This window comes from Homo sapiens, chromosome 5 (assembly GCF_000001405.40).
Source record: "Homo sapiens chromosome 5, GRCh38.p14 Primary Assembly".
Taxonomy (NCBI): domain Eukaryota; kingdom Metazoa; phylum Chordata; class Mammalia; order Primates; family Hominidae; genus Homo; species Homo sapiens.
In genome coordinates this window covers 143,075,001-143,091,822 of record NC_000005.10, presented here as the reverse complement: position 1 = coordinate 143,091,822, position 16,822 = coordinate 143,075,001, and the positions used below count along the sequence as shown (strand labels likewise).

At 42.6% G+C, this 16,822-nt stretch overlaps 1 protein-coding gene across 36 annotated transcripts in view, besides 1 other annotated feature; it reads right to left on the bottom strand.

Annotated features, from left to right (window-relative positions):
• ARHGAP26 (Rho GTPase activating protein 26) overlaps window positions 1-16,822 on the bottom strand; it is a 458,635-nt gene that overhangs the window by 137,189 nt on the left and 304,624 nt on the right. The window lies entirely within an intron of this gene.
• Window positions 1,142-1,733: an enhancer, noted in NCBI's record as "OCT4-NANOG hESC enhancer chr5:142469655-142470246 (GRCh37/hg19 assembly coordinates)". NCBI's record gives its function as "activates a minimal SCP1, AML or CMV promoter by ChIP-STARR-seq in naive H9 embryonic stem cells {active_cell/tissue: H9 hESC(naive)}" and the evidence as "EXISTENCE:reporter gene assay evidence [ECO:0000049][PMID:30033119]".

The window sequence follows — 16,822 nt, the reverse complement described above, 5'->3', positions numbered from 1 at the left end:
TAAAGTTAAAGTGGTATCCAGTTTTTCCGTGAACTGGATATTAAAATAAAAGCACAACAGGTCTTTCTTAAAGCACTAACCTGCTCTTTAACAAAAATTATAAAAGGTTAAAAAGAGTCTATAAAAATCTTACCTTATGGTCAGATGTTAAAATTGGATAACTATGTCAACAAGGTTTAATTAAAATTGAGTTTAACATTAATAACACATTAATATAAAGGTGAAATTTAGTTTATCTGGTATAAAAGTCATACAGGAAGCACTGTCAAATATAAAATGGTGTTTGGCTTTCTTTGGTCTAGAAACTAATAAAAATAGGTGCTAAAGGAAATTTCTCAGTAAAAAGGTACCAAGGACTATAAAGTCCACTGCTGATGTCCCCACATTTAAAACAAAAGATCAGTTTCTTAGAAATTATATACTTGGTTTATCTTCCACTTTCCTTTCCCGCAAAACTAAGTCTTTTAGCACAGGTACCAACCCTAGAATTTCTGGTAAATAGCACCAGCCTGAGGATCATGTTCTCATCAAAGGGTGGAAAGAAGGAAAACTCAAGCCAGCCTGGGAAGGACCCTACCTTGTGCTGCTAACCACTGAGACTGCTGTTCATACAGCGGAAAGCGGATGGACTCATCACACCCGAGTCAAGAAAGCGCCGCCCCCTCCAGAGTCGTGGGCCATAGTCCCAGGGGAAAACCCTACCAAACTAAAGCTAAGAAATTTAACTTTCATTCATCTATTCTATTACTCTTTTTTCTTTACTCGCTCTATTGCTGACCATCTAGTTATTAACATAACCAAGTCAATTTTGCCTCAAACTATTGCATTTAATGCTTGTCTTGTTATACCCTGTGGGGACTGACCAAGTCAAAGACAGCTCTCTACTTCAGAAAAGTACCTCTGTCCCTCCTGAGTCTCCTAAGACTGGGCATTAGTGAATTGGGACCATTTAATCTGGGGAGATTTCGATAAAGACCCCAGTATCAACCAGGAGTCTTGCTCCCCAATGTAAAGCTTTTATGATGTAGTTGGTCCAATGTTCTGCGGACCACTAAAGAGCAAGAATGAATTGCCAACAGGTTTTTGCAATTTCCTAAAACCATACATTCATTTTACTAGAGGGACAGCCCTCCCCCATCAGCTAACCCAGTGTAATTCTACACAGGTTATTATCTCAAACCCTCAAGTTCTCCCCCTTTTCTAAGCCAGTTCCCTTCTTCTATGGGGGCTGAGGTTTCAGGGACAGACCCTATTAGATTATTTGAAATGCGTTTCTTTGATCCCCCGCCACCTGCACCTTCCTCTAAGCCTTCTTCCAAAACTTCTCACAAGGGAACAATTGCTCCTTCTCCATCTAATGACACGACTGAGATAGCTATCGTAGAAGTTAAAGACTTAAAACAAACTTTGGCAATTAAGACAGGATACCAAGATGCAAATGCCTGGTTGGAATGGATCAAATATTCCATTCACACGTTAAACAAAAGCAATTGTTATGCTTGTGCGCACAGCAGGCCAGAGGCCCAGACTGTCCCCTTTCCACTAGGGTGGTCCTCCAGTCAACCGGGCATGGGCTGCATGGTAGCTCTTTCCCAGGATTCTACAGCCTGGAGTAACAAGTCATGCCACGCTCTCTCTCTGCTATATCCCGAAGTCCGGCACCCTGCGGGTCAGCCCCCAAGGGCCATCCAGCTTCCGTCTCCCAACACTAAGTTCACGACAGGGAGGAAACTTAGTGTTCCTTGGAGACCTGAAAGGATGCAGTGAGCTTAAGAATTTTCAAGAGCTCATCAATCAGTCAGCCCTTGTTCATCCCCAAACGGATGTGTGGTGGTATTGTGGTGGACCTTTACTGGACACTCTGCCGAATAACTGGAGTGGCACTTATGCTTTAGTCCAATTGGCTATCCCTTTCACCCTGGCATTTCATCAACCAGAAAAAGAAAAAAATAAGACATCGTGAAGCGAGAGAAGGCCCTTATGGGTCTTTCAACTCTTACGTCTATTTAGACACAATTAGAGTCCCATGGGGAATACCAGAACAATTTCAAGCCCGAAATAAAATAGCTGCAGAATTTGAGTCAATATTTTGGTGAGTGAAAATTAATAAAAATGTAGATTGGATAAACTAGATCTATTACAACCAACAGTGATTTACTAACTACACTAGAGATGTTGTTAAAGGAATAGCTAAGCAATTAGGGGCCACTAGCCAGATGGCTTGGGAAAACAGGATAGCCTTAGACATGATAGTAGCAAAAAGAGGAAGAGTTTGTATCGTGATTAAAACTCAGTGTTGTACCTTCATCCCAAAACACCACCACCCCTGATGGAAGTATAACAAAGGCATTACAAGGTCTGACTGCTCTGTCCAATGAGTTAGCCAACAACTCAGGGGTAAATGACCCCTTTACAGCATGAATAGAAAGTAGTTCGGTAAATGGAAAAGAATAATAGCCTCAATTCTTACTTCCCTCGCAGCCATAATGGGTGTACTTATTCTTGTCGGGTGCTGTGTCACACTATGCATCCGTGGGTTGGTGCAGAGGCTCATAAAAATGGCACTTACTAAAACCTCCCTTAACTATCCTCCACCTTATCCAGAGAAGCTTCTTCTTTTGGAAAATCCAGCAAAACAACTAAGCCAAGACACGTTAAAAAGTTTAAAAAGAAAGCTGTAAGGAAATGCAAGAGGAGGGATTGTTAGATATAAGTTTTAAATTTATTTTCAAAGAATCAGTACGTCAGTATGTTCAATTATTTGCCTTCTACTTTTAAACTTAACTTCCTCGTAAAGCAACCTTTTTCAATTACCTGCTCCACCCTGACTCATTCCGATTACCTACTCCACCCTAACTCATTCCAATTACCTGCTCCACCCTGACTCATTCCCATTACCTGCTACCCCCTGACTCATTCCGATTATCTGCTCTGTCATAACCATTTTTCCCGCCAAACCACTCACCCCGTCACTCTCTTTAAATTAGCCAATCGGAATTTGTTTAGCTTGTACAGTCTAACCCTAGCCAATAGGGGAACGACACAGCGGCAGGGATCACATATGTCAGGGATAAAAACCCCTTCCCCTCCCTTGCCAAAGTGTGCGCTCACCGCTGCTCCATCTGTAAGGTCGCAGCCTTCTATAGAAGTAACTTGCCTTGCTGAGAATTATAAAGAAAATTTTATATTCGAGTGCTATTCCTTTTGCGGCACCGAAACTTTATTTACAGCATTATCATGAGTTTTTTTCAGTCTCAGATTATCTTGGGTTCTTTCTGCTTCACATGAAATTTAAATGTTATAGGAGGTCCTTACCTTGAAAATAATAAAGACATAACCACTTTTTTTTTTTAACAATTTGGTCCAAACCCCTGAGTTTTATGATCATCATGGCATCTCAGAACAATATATTTAACCATTCTGTCAACAGCCAATACAACCATCATCTACTCACCTGTATATCCTAGTACATATATAGTACAACCGTATATGTCCCACTATAACAAGTTCTGAAAACAAAAGCGTGAGCAAAGATCACAGGTGGTCACTGCACACATAGGGCTTACAGTTTAGTGTAAATGATGAACATTAATCAGAAAATGGCACAAGTAAAAGGAAATATGCAATTGTGAAGAATGCCCTATGAAGGACAGATATATAATCTCAGAAGCACATAAAATGGGGAACTTTTGACTTAACTGAAGACTAGGGAAGGATTCCGTGAGGAACAGTAGCACCAGCTTTATGTGAGACCTTTTAGAAGTGCCACATCCCAGGACCCTTCCAGCCCTAATGAAGAACCTGCATTTTAACAAGCTTCCCAGGTGATTCATGTTTGAGAAGGACTCACTCTTCTAAAGAATGGGCCAGGATAGGCCAGGCGTGGTGGCTCATGCCTGTAATCCCAGCACTTTGGGAGGCCGAGGCGGGTGTATCACCTGAGGTCAGGAGTTCGAGACCAGCCTGACCAACATGGAGAAACCCCGTCTCTACTAAAAATACAAAATTAGCCAGGCGTGGTGGCACATGCCTGTAATCCCAGCTACTCGGGAGGCTGAGGCAGAAGAATCACTTGAACCTGGGAGGCGGAGGTTGTGGACGGTGAGCCGAGATCGCACCATTGCACTCCAGCCTGGGCAACAAGAGCAAAACTCCGTCTCAAAAAAAAAAAAAAAAAAAAAAAAAAGAATGGGCCAGGGTTAATTAGATGAGGAGGAGTATTCTGGCATAGGTAACAGACAAAAGCCCTAGGGTCAGAGGAGGAGAGCATGTCTGAAGAACTCGAAGGCTACTATGGCTGCAATGGAGAGGGTATGGGGAGCACAGTGCCAGATGTTAGGGGCTGGCATATACTAAATTTGGCCATGAGTAAACAAAAGGGTTAGGAGGGACTGCAGTCTCCTGAACTCTATTAGGCATGCCTGTCTGGCACTAAACTGCTTTCCAAACAAACACAACAGTTAGATACTCATCCTTTTATAGTTGCTGAAGGGCAAATTCCTTTAATTCCAATGAAAGAACCAAGTTCTTATAGCACAAGTGGCAACAGCTCTGGCTTCCCACAGTGTGAGAAAACAGGGGAGGCTTACAACACCTTAATTTGAATGCATGTAAGGAATCATATTTAATGTCTTGATGCCTCAGCAGGTCCTCATTAGCAGAGAAGTCTGGACTCTAAAGAGGTAGTGACTACACTCTGAATTCTGCACAAATCTTAAGGCATAGTATATTTGAGGCCCCTGATAACACACATGAGTCACAATGCCAAGGACCCTGGCAAACACTTTAGTGCTTGGGAATCTTTTTGGAACATGATCTAGCAAGCTCGTAAAACTCAGCAGACTGAATTGCGGGAGCTGCACCAAATGGGCGATATCAATAAATATTTGAGACAGTGGAGGTAGGGGGTAGGCGGGGAGGATCCAAAACTTTAATGTGGCTGCAGACATTCATGGATATCTGAGTGCTGGAAGAACCAGTCATGTCCAGTGGCCCCCCTCCATATCAACTAAAGTTAGTTCTGTAGTAATAAGACCCCTGAGCGAGAGGGAAGACTCAAGATGTGGACTTAGGCTGGACAAGAAAATTTATAGCCAAAGCATCTCACCAGCAGCCTTAAGTGCTAAGAAAGACAGAAAACATCTTGACTAATACAAGGCAGACTGGCTCAATCTCCAGCTAATAAACCCTAGAGCAGTGAGCATTTCACTCTTCAGACTAGAATGTCCAAGGTGAAAGGAACCCAGGATTAGAATTTATGGCTCCTTGAAGTCATTTCTTACTTTCTCATCTATTCAGGGACCCAAACAAGTATGCTGGCAAAACTTGCTTACATGATACACTAAAAATAAAGATGGAGTCCCAAGTTTATTTCCCAATTTATGGCTCGTTGAAGCAACTTCTTACTTTCTCATCTCTTCAGGAACCCAACCAAGTGTGCTGGCAAAAGTTGCTTGTATAAGACTCTAAAAATAAAGATGGAGGCCCAAGTTTATTTCCCCCACAGTCAAAATTCTAGAAAAATGATCAACAATGGGTTTGTGTCATTTTAGTAATGCCAGAGGGGACTGGAAGTTTTCTAGTTCCTTGAATGGCTATATGCAACTTAATATAGCCATCTGGAATAATTCTTTTTCCAGATACTCTGGAGAGAAAAACATTCTTCCAACATTTTTCTTATCATCATATCTGATGACAAGATCTGATCAACTCCTGTTCTTTTACAGGTGATAGAAGCCACCATTAGCAGATACCATAAGGAACCCTGAAAGGCCAGCTCTGACAGTCAAAGACTAGGATAAAAACAAGGGTTTTGCCTTGTTTCTTTGTGAAAAAAATTATTAATGGGAAATCTATCAGCCTTAGGAAGTCAAACCTTTCCTTGCATAATAGGGAAAATGTAGCTAAAACTATTTAAATATTATAAGAAACCATTTTTTAAAAAGTAAGACAATCTGAGCAACCAAGATGGTTTCCAATGAGTTTGAAATTCAGGACATTCTTTCGGTTAAGGAGGTTTGTTTCCTTCCTCGTACCCACAGCCACTTCAGGGCTGGGAATCCTCAGCTAACTTTTGGCACTCACTCAAATCCAACCAGATGGATAAACACTTGGTTTAACTGAACCAATGCTGTGGAGCGCTCTGCATCTGCTGCCGCTATCCTCAAAGTCTGGGACAGGGACAGCATGAATAGAGTCAGCTCTGACTTTCAGTGTTGCCTGCCTAGTTATAAAACTCAGACTAATTATCTGGCTTAAAAATTCATCATCATATGCAGTTACATTATTGCCTCTGTCGCGTTCTCCTAAGCTAATCTGTACCTTGACCTTTTCCTCTCTGTACTCCTGTGACACTGCTTGCCTTCACACATGCCATTAACTGGAACTCTCTTCCCTCTTGTCCCCCTCTTTTTTCTCAACTAATTTCTCAATTTCTTTACATTACCCACCTCCCCTATCCCCAAATTAGAGACCCTATGCTCTGCCTCTGTTTTTCATCACATATGTATATGAGACTAACTGGTGAATGTCTCCCCTACTATCTGCCACCAGAGGATGTTCTATGAAGCACCTACTGCAGGCCAGGCCGAGTGGGACAAATGATGTGATAGACACTGGGGCCTATCATCAAGAAGCTTGTCCTCTAACAGAGAGGAAGAAAAACAAGCGAATCAAGAGTTTCCGGGGCCGGGACCACAATTCGCACAACGCATGGGGTGAGGGAGAGGAAACTCTACCCGTGCAGAAAGCGTTTCTTTTTTTTTTTTTTTTTTTTTTTGAGATGGAGTCTTGCTCTGTTGCCCAGGCTGGAGTGCAGTGGCGCGATCTCGGCTCACTGTAACCTCCGTCTCCCTGGTTCAAGCAATTTTCCTGCCTCAGCATCCTGAGTAGCTGGGATTACAGGCACGCGCCACCACGCCCAGCTAATTTTTGTATTTTTAGTAGAGACGGAGTTTCACCACGTTGGCCAGGATGGTCTCCATCTCCTGACCACGTGATCTTTCCACCTCGGCCTCACCAAAGTGTGGGGATTATAGGCATGAGCCACCGCGCCCAGCGGAGAAAGTATTTCTAACGGAGATGTTGGCATAAGCAAAGGCAAAGAGGTGTGACTGTGTGCCCTACAAGCAGCTGGTTATTCCCAAAGCAGCGAGCCTTTGGCATGGAGTGGAGACAGGCGAGGCTGGAGAGGAAGCAGTGTCCAGATCACAAGATGTCTTTGTATGCCACGCTGGAGAGGGCAGAGTTCCCTGTAAGTAGGGCAGTAAAAAGGGCAGGGCTCCCTTTTGGTTAAAAACACGCCTCCCTCCAAATCTGTGGAAACTCAGGCCATAAACCTTCCCCTGCTCTTCTGCCAGATTTCCCATAAGCACCCCATGCATTCCGCTCAAGGGAACAAAAAGAGGGTGAGCAGCTTTTCCATGCATTCCAAATTCATTTCTATGAGCCATTGCCAATCAATCAGCACAGAGTGATGAGAATCTAGAGCTCATGGCTGGGCACAGACAGCTAAATCTGTCTGGTTCTTGTTCTCTTTTTTCTATTTTAATAGCATATAGTGAAAAACTTATTTTTTAATTTTTTAAACTAGGATTAAGTTTTAATGGCAGGGAATACTGTGACCACAGTTATGATCCCAAATCTTACTGAAAATTAATCTGTCCCCTACAGTCGGGTCATTAAGGCAGAGTCTTTTGAAGGTTGTTAAATTCCCACTCAATTATAGTTTTGACCACACTTTGAATGCATCCGGATGAGCTGGTGGCATCATATAAAAGTCAATGACGTGGACGGCGAGAGCCTGCAGATGCTTTAAAGTGGAAAGAACTAAAGAGTGTCTCCTCTTATCTTGAAGAACACTGTTTGCTCTAAAATCATGCCTTAATTTTTATGACACGTAATATAATGACTTGAAACTCAACCTTTGCAAATGAAGTATCTCAAGGTTTTCTTATTAGAGGGATAAGTCTGAGATATAAGATGGGAGAAAGATATATTGAATCGGAGTTAAGAAATAAAAAAGCAGCTGGGTGCAGTGGCTCATGCCTATAATCCCAGCATTTTGGGAGGCAGAGGTGGATGGATCACCTGAGTTCAGGAGTTTGAGACCAGCCTGGGCAACATGGTGAAACCCTATCTCTACTAAAAATGCAAAAATTAGCCGGGTGTAGTGGCAGGTGCCTGTAATCACAGCTACTTGGAAGGCTGAGGCAGGAGCATCGCTTGAACCCAGGAGGCGGAGATTGCATTGAGCCAAGATTGTGTCCCTGCACTTCAGCCTGGGCAAAAAGAGCGAAACTCTGTCTCCAAACAACAACAAAAAGAAGTAAAAAAGCTTAAACAGGAAATTCTTCTCCACTCAAAAAATATTTACTGTGCTCTTATGATGTGGTCAACAGAATGGATGCTGGAGATATTAAGAGACATAAGACTTGCTCTCTCATCTCACAAGGTATGCCTGAGTGGAGCAAAGGGGGAGAAAACGAGACAAAGATAAATTTGGCAGGAGTAAAACTGATCATTAGGCCGGTTACTGCGATGTATGCTTGAGCAGAAATACAGCCGGAATTTTAGGATCATATCTGCATGGTAAACCAGTTTCCAGAGGAAGTGATCCGTGGCCTAATAATGTAAACTAGCTCATAGCTAGGAAACAATGACACCTGTGACTAATGGGAAAAAGAAAAAGGAAGAAGACGAAGAAAAAGTCTCCAGCTCTAGCTTCCCCAAGATACATAGAGACTGCCTTCGACTGCTGTATTATACTCGGCTGAGATTCTTGGTAGCTCTAACTCATCGATATGGTCCAGCAAAATGCAAAATGTCACTCTACAGTGACAATCTTTGCTTAAAGAATATGATATTTAGCTATGAATACCAAAATAAAAATGAGCTACATCAACCTCTTCCCTTCATTTTTAAACTCAAAAACCCGTGACGTTCTGTAGAAAAGGAAAACTCTTTTAAACAGAAGCCATGGGAAAACATCAGTTAGGCTTTTGTGATTTGAAAATGAATAATCTTATTTTATGAAATTCAAAGAGAAATAAAATACTTTAGAAGGAGAGGTATGTCTAAAGTGAGCTATATACAACTCCCATCTTCTTGGTTTCAGATCTGTAATTACGCTTATGTGCGGCTACAGTATAGTGAGAACAAAATAGGCTCAAGACTCAGCCAGAAACATGAATACAATTCTTGACTTTGAAACTTGGTAGCAGTGTGACTTTGGGCAAGGTATGTAACTTTGAATCTCAGTGTTCTCCTCTGTAAATTAAAAATCCCAATTTTTGCTTTTGGGGACTTCTGCAATGATAGTAGATACCAGATATCTAAAGCACCTGACATATAACAGGTTTTCAACAAATTCAAACTAATTTTATTATTTTTTATGTTCCTCATAAATTCTTGGGCATAAATTGTTATTCCTCATGACTTCTGAGCAGGGACAGATAGTGATGAGAGCATTTCTTTCTGGATGGGAACAGTAAACACAACTCCATATTTTTGTGACAGTCCAGAGAGAATGCTCAATTCATTCATCCTAGAAGAATTTTTCCTAACACCTCCAGGGTGACATAATTATTGTCTTGGGGGGTGGGACAAGTGTCAAGGCTGAAGCAATCACGGCATTATCACTATGCTAAGAGCCAGCAACAGATACTAAACAGAAGTTATAAATAGCAAAGCAAGACCCAAAAATGCAAAGTAGAAAATACAGTATTCCAAACTCTCAAACGTCCCCAGCAACAGATCCAGAGAAAGAGTTACTCAGACAAAAGCTACCATTTTTTTTTTTTTTTTTTTTTTTTTGAGATGGAGTCTCCCTCTGTTACCCAGGCTGGAGCGCAGTGGCGCGATCTCGGCTCACTGCAAGCTCCACCTCCCGGGTTCATGCCATTCTTCTGCCTCAGCCTCCCGAGTAGCTGGGACTACACCCACCACCACGCCCGGCTAATTTTTTTGTATTTTTAGTAGAGACGGGGTTTCACTGTGTTCGGCAGGATGGTCTCGAACTCCTGACCTTGTGATCCGCCGGCCTCGGCCTCCCAGAGTGCTGGGATTACAGGCGTGAGCCACTGCTCCCAGCAAAAGCTACCATTTTTAAGCCCTTACTCCATGCCAGAAACTGGATATGCACTTTGCATGCATCAACTCAATCTTGACAACACTGACTCTGAGATGGATCCTATTATTCTTCCCATTTTATAAACAAGGACACCTCTGTTTTCACCGTCTTCGGATGGTAGGTAATTTTCTGGAGGTCCCCCAGCTGGTAAGTGCTATAAATGGAATTTGAACTCAGGTCTGTTTGACTCCAGGACTTCCACTCTTCAAAACTGTGCCATTTCCAATTACATCAATGGAAAACATAGGTCATTGTCTTAAAGCAACCAAGTAATATATTCCCCAAACAGCGTGCTTAGTCTTCCAGAGTTTGATTTTATTTTATTCTCTATGGTGTGAGTCCTGACTAGAATACAGCCAAAGGCTCTGCTCTGATCCCAGGCTGTTCCTTCCCATCTTCACTGCCAGACCCTCCTCTTCCCACTTCTAAATGCTGTAGAGCCCCAGGACTCTGTCCTGGCTCCTCTCCTCCTCTATCCACAGACCTGCCCTCAGTGATCTCATCAGTCCTGTGGTTGATATACAAGAAAGAATAATCTGTATGCTGAGAGCTCTCAGTAGAACTTTTGGTGTCTTTACCCCAACACCCACCCACTCCACCACAACAATAAAACAAGACAAGACCTCCGTTTCTCCCCCAGTGAAGGCCAAAAACCCAGGAGTCATCCTTTATCCCCCTTCCCTACACATATCACATCTAGCTCATTGGTTAATCCTGTTGGCCTTATCTTTAAAAATATATCCCAAATGTGCCCACTGTTCAGCATTTCCACCACTACTACCCTAGTCCAGGCCCCAGTGTCTTTCATCTGCACTACTGCTTCAGCCTCCCCAACACCACACTAGCTCCTGTTCAGCTCATTTGCCATAGAGCAACTGGGTGTCCTTGGGAAAAGAAACACCCTCACCACAGATTGTGCCATTCACACCCTCAGAACCCTCCAGTGGCTCCCCATTACAATTAGAACAGAATTCAAACTTCTTCCTGAGGTCCCCAAGCTACCACTTCATCTGGCCCCTGCTTAGCTCTGCAAACTCAGCTTGTACCACACAGATCTTACTGTTCCGTGACCACGCCCAGGGTGTTTCCACACCAAGCAGGTGCCTTTCCCAGGGTTTTTGCACTTGCTGTTCCCTCTTCCTGGAGGAACCTTCCTCTACCTCTTCACAGGGCTTTGCTCTCTCACTTCATTCAGGTCATGGCTTAAATGCTACCTCCTCAGAGAGCCTTCCCTGACCACTTGGCCTAACACAGCTCCTTGTCCATCCTCAATACTTGGGCTTACTCTTACCTGAGGGCACTTACCACCACCTGAAATTATCTTTATAATGGATTTAGTCTATACTTCTATTTTTTAAAAAAATTTACCACTGTATTCACAGGTCGTAAATCCGGAGTAGGTACTCAATGAATATGTGCAAATATCTGCATCTTGCCTCAATTTAACTTTAAGCTCTAAGACAGCAGGGACTCTGTCTTGGGCACTGCTATATCCCCATGCCTAGAATAGCACTTGGTATATAATAGGCATCCCCATATTTGAAGAATGAATAAGTGAAAGGCTCCTAGCAGTCCTACATATAAAGGTCAGCTCCCATCTTATAGGCAAAAGAGTGACCAGGACTCACCTACTAGAATGGCCATCTGAACTTGTGTTTGAATAGTGTAAGGTCCCCCACTATCCAGAGGTAGGTCATACTCCTGAGGCTCCCCAGTATATCCTCCCCATCCAGATGCTCTGGAGCTATGTGACAGCTGGCTTGGTCTTTTAAAGAGGGAGAAGACCATGTGAGGCAACATGAGCCTAGGCTTTGGGCACCAGGAGAATCCTGCATCTCATCTATCTCTAGATTCTCCCTAGGCCCTGCAAAGCTTCTGTCAAACAAGCTCACTTTCCCTAGGCACGCTGCACCACTGGATCAATTTCCACCAATGTTACCATGCTAAGGCTATAGGGAAACGAGTCCACAGGTAAAATAGGTCCAATGTACACATAACAATATCCCAAGGAGTCATTGAGATGAAGCAAGTGCTTGCTCCAAGACCTGAACAAGGTAAATATATTTAAAAACATGTTCGTTTAATCCGGTCTGACAGTGAGAAGGGTTTGTATGGGGCCGACAATACCAGGCTGGTTGTCCCGTGTCTGGCACACCCTGCAGGTTTTTTCAGTTAAATGTAATAATCAAATCAGCTGCACAGCACCGTTAACTCTGAAAAGGCAAAGGGAGCTTCCTGGGTGATCTCCCTGCCTGCCTTTCTCCCGTGCCGACTACAAAGACCAAAGAATCGTAGCCTGGTAGCAAAGGTGTTTATAGACACATAGAGGACGCTGGAAACAGAGAAGGAGAAAAATGGGGAGGTTTCTGCTCTAGCAGTCTCCAAAGGAGAAAGCGCTTACTTCACAGTAGATGTCTGAGAAAAATAATGTTTCATAGGCTTCCTCCACCTAACTTGTTTGGTTGCCCAACTCTATAGATCCTTTGTGCCCTCCCATCCCTCTACCATTTCCAAACTGACTTTGCACTCAGACATGACAAAGCTTGTAAGCACTCCCAAGAGAGCACAAGTTAAAGGAGGGAGAGACAGGCCTTCTGCAGACTAGTTATGTGAAAACAAAGGAAAAGTTAAACACATGATAAGATAAAGTAATAATCCTAGCACTTTTCCCACAGCCAATATTATCCTTTACTGATCCAGCTGGAAATTACTCTGCATTTGCAGAGCACAATCAAGATATCAGGTGCATGTCTGGAAGTTTGGTTTCTTGAAATAAAAATGCCATGTATGTTTAGTGATGCTACCATAACCACCGGTTTCACCAGTCAGCCATCAAGAAAGTATTTAAGAACCCAAAGAGCTCAGATGCTAAGAAAGTCTCTAAAGTTGATTTTTCCACCTCTTAGGCCAATCAAACCCACCTGTCTTATTTCACCACAGTTGGACACAGGCCAGCTTTCAATGAATATGTCTGAATATCTGCCTCTTGCCTCAATTATAATTTAAGTTCTAGGACAGGTTTAAATTATTGATGTTAATAGGAGAGAAGCAATTGTCAATTGTCTCTGCTTACCAGCAAGACACATTCCTGAAAAGTTTTCTCTGAAACAAAATACTATTATCTGAAAACCTCCCCCACCCCGCCCAACTGCTATAAAATTCCAGATGTAGTCTGAGATGGCAAACTAAAAGCAGACTGAATCAATCTCTTCTCTAGCACGGTCCATCAGTGTCCACAGCCGAGGGAATAAAACGGACACACTCAGGTCTGGATACTGACCAAAATAAAAAACCAAAATCCGAATTGAAATCCAGCAGGGGCAGGACTAGAGTTAGACAGGAGACACACCCAGGCCACATTTAAAGAGGCCCTCACTCACTCTCGGGATGGTTGCAGGTTATTGCCTCCTTCAATTTTGCACCCAGGTGTCTCTTCTGCCTCGCCCTAGGCCCAGCCCTGCTAACACATCATTTTGGTGTCCTGACTTACTTTCCCTGCAATGAAACTTCATTTTTTATTGAGTTAGCGTAACATGATTGGCTGGGTAATGCAGGAACCTAAACTTTGTTAAGGTTTTTCTTTCTTGGTTGACTAGCCTGCTAGCTTCCTCCCTCCCTTCTTCCTGTCCACTCACAGAAGGTGAGAAAATACAATAGTTTGTTCATTTCAATGGTGGTAGAATATAGGAGAGGGCATGCAGAGATGAACTGGCCTTTAGAGGCTGGCAGCAAAGGTGAGAGGCAATCAGGGGCTTAAGGAGATTCCTGGAAACCAGGGTTGGGGGAGGGGAGATATGCTCAGTCTGCATCCCAGAAAAGAAGAGCCTAGGCACCAACAGCTACAGCCCCACCCTACTCTTGGCCTTCGAACCCTCTAGGTGGTCCGAATAGCTATGCAGACCCAAGGTCAGAAAGACAGACTTCTCTTTGATTGCACAGTTTACTTTTAGAAATTGCTCACAACAGTCAGACATTTCAGACCCATCCTCAAGAGAGACTTTCCACAAAGACGCTGGCAGCGCCCTGTCATCTGTGCAAGCCAGAAATGGTGGCACCCCATAGCCACGGTGACCTGCTTAAGCCAGGAGCCCTAGTCCTAGTCATCTACGGTGAGCCTTTTATGAGTTCTGTCTGCTGCTGCTTGGCTTCTGAGGTGGTAGAGCCCTTTTTAGGGAGGCTTGTGGCAGAGGGTTAAGAGCCTTTGCATTTTATCATAAGCAGGACCTGCCAAAGCCCCAGTGAGGACAATGAGAAGAACCGGTGCTGGGGTTTTCTATGTCAGATCTCTCTGGGTGGTTCAACATCAGCCCATCTGTAATCCTATGAAGATATTTAATCCTTCAGTTCCTGGGTTCTTTTTCTTCCCTGATATTCCAGGTCTTCAGCCAAGCTGTTCCAATTCTTGGCCTGGAACACAATTCCACCAGCCTCCACTCCAAGACCTGTAGCTTAGCTAACCTGCTCCACTCTTTTACAGTTCATGGTAAATGGGAAATACTGGCGCCCACATACCTGAGGCATTCACAGAACTTAGAGCACCGCCTGGGACACATTAAGTGCCATCTGAAGTATTCTGTATCCATATCTAGCCATCGATCCAAAATGAAAAGTCTATCAGGCATATAAGCCAATTCAGTCATGACAGAGAATAATGTGGCACTATCTAGAAAAACTATGCAATTCCATTCCTAGGTAGGTATGCATCTTACTAAAACTCACACATGTGCAAAAGGATGTTTGCAAGGATGTTCACTGCAGCATTGCTTATAATGTTAAAAACTTTAGAAACAACTCTAAGCACCTATCAGTGCACTTAGGAATACGAGGAAAGGGATAAATAACGTGTGGCATATTTACACAGCATTTAAAGAGATGAACTAGTTTTTACCTCAAAAAAATAAAATTGAATGAAAACCCCAAGCTGAAAAATTAGAGTATACCCTGATAGCATTTATGAAAATTACAACACATATACAAATACCAGACGTCTATATTTGGACACACAAAATAATCCCTTTTAAAGTATCAAAACATAGTTCAAAAGGGTATATGCTAAAATTCATGTTAATGCTTTCCACTGGAGAGCAAAGGGAACTGAACAGGGTGTGCCAAAAGAGGATGCCAATGTTAACATTTGGGGATAAGGAACAAACTGACAAATGTTAGCTGTTATATAAATATGCCCACACATATAAATATATACATGAAAGATTATAGCAAAACATACAAGTATGTATGCTCCAAATTATTTTTTGTGCATTTTGCTCTATTTCAAAATAAAAAAAGGGAGAAGAGGGAGACTGTGCACATTTTGGACAATCAGGATTCCTTTACATTGTCTTAGAGAATTTTAAAAAGTGCAGTATACTTCAGGGGCTGACAGAGATGACAGAAAAGCTTGAGCATGGGGGCTCATTCTTGTAGTCCCAGCATTTTGAGAGGCTGAGGTGGGAGGATAGTTTGAGGCCAGGAGTTCGAGACCAGCCTGGGCAACATAATGAGACTGGCTTTTCAAAAAAAAAAAAAAAAAAAAATTAGCCAGGTCTGGTGGCGCACACCTGTAGTCCTAGTTACTTGGGAGGGTAAGGATCACCTTAGCCCAGGAGGTCCAGGCTGCAGCAACCTGTAATTGTGCCACTGTATTCCAGCCTGGGTGACAGAGTGAGAGCTTGTTTCAAAACAAAAACAAAAACAAGGCCAGGCACAGTGGCTCATGCCTATAATCCCAGCACTCTGGAAGGATGAGGTGGGTGGACTGTTTGAGCCCAGGAGTTCAAAACTAGCCTGGGCAACATGGTAAAACCCCATCTCTACAAAAAATACAAAAATTAGCTGGGCCTGGTGGCGTGCTCCTGTAGTCCCAGCTACTTGGAAGGCTGAGGTGGGAGGATCTCTGGAGCCCGGGAGGCAGAGGTTGTAGTTAGCTCAGATCACGCCACTGCACTCCAGCCTGGGTGACAGAGCAAGGCCTTGCCTCAAAAACAAAAACATAACTATTAAAAAGTTAATAACAATTTTAAAAATGCACATTTAATCAATATTGTCCTTAGCAGTAGTTCCCAAACTTTAGTGTAAATAGAAATCACTTGGGAGTTTATTAAAAATAGAAATCCCTGCATGTCATGCCTATCCCCACCATTATAATTCAGGAAATCTTGAGTGAGGCCCAGTGATCTCCTTTTTATACAAAAACCAAACGTCCCTACTATGGTATATAGTTAAGCCTTTGTTAAATGTTCTGAGAAACATTTTTTTAAAAACTCAAAAACTTAAAAGCAAATGAAAATTGCTATTTTGACCTAAAAGTCTATTCCCCTTTGCCAATAGCAACTGTTAAAATAAATTTATACATATTTTTAATAAAATTATATTTATATATATTTATATTTATATTTTGATAAGAAACTAAAATCACTATACATAATATTTACTTACATAGCTCTGTAAAATGTTGACCCTATAATAGAGGAATATTTTTAATGTGCAATTGAAATGTTAAAGGCACACTTGTTAAAATTATGACAACTCTTGTTCTAGGTAACAATTAACTTTAATGGAACAATTCTAGAGTTATAATTAAAAAGTAACCAGCACAGAAAACATGCAGCTTTAGGCTATCTAGCCTTTGCTATCCATTATCTAATGATAACCCACTTCTCTTCCCACCTCCCAGGCAGTCACAGTCCTCCTCCT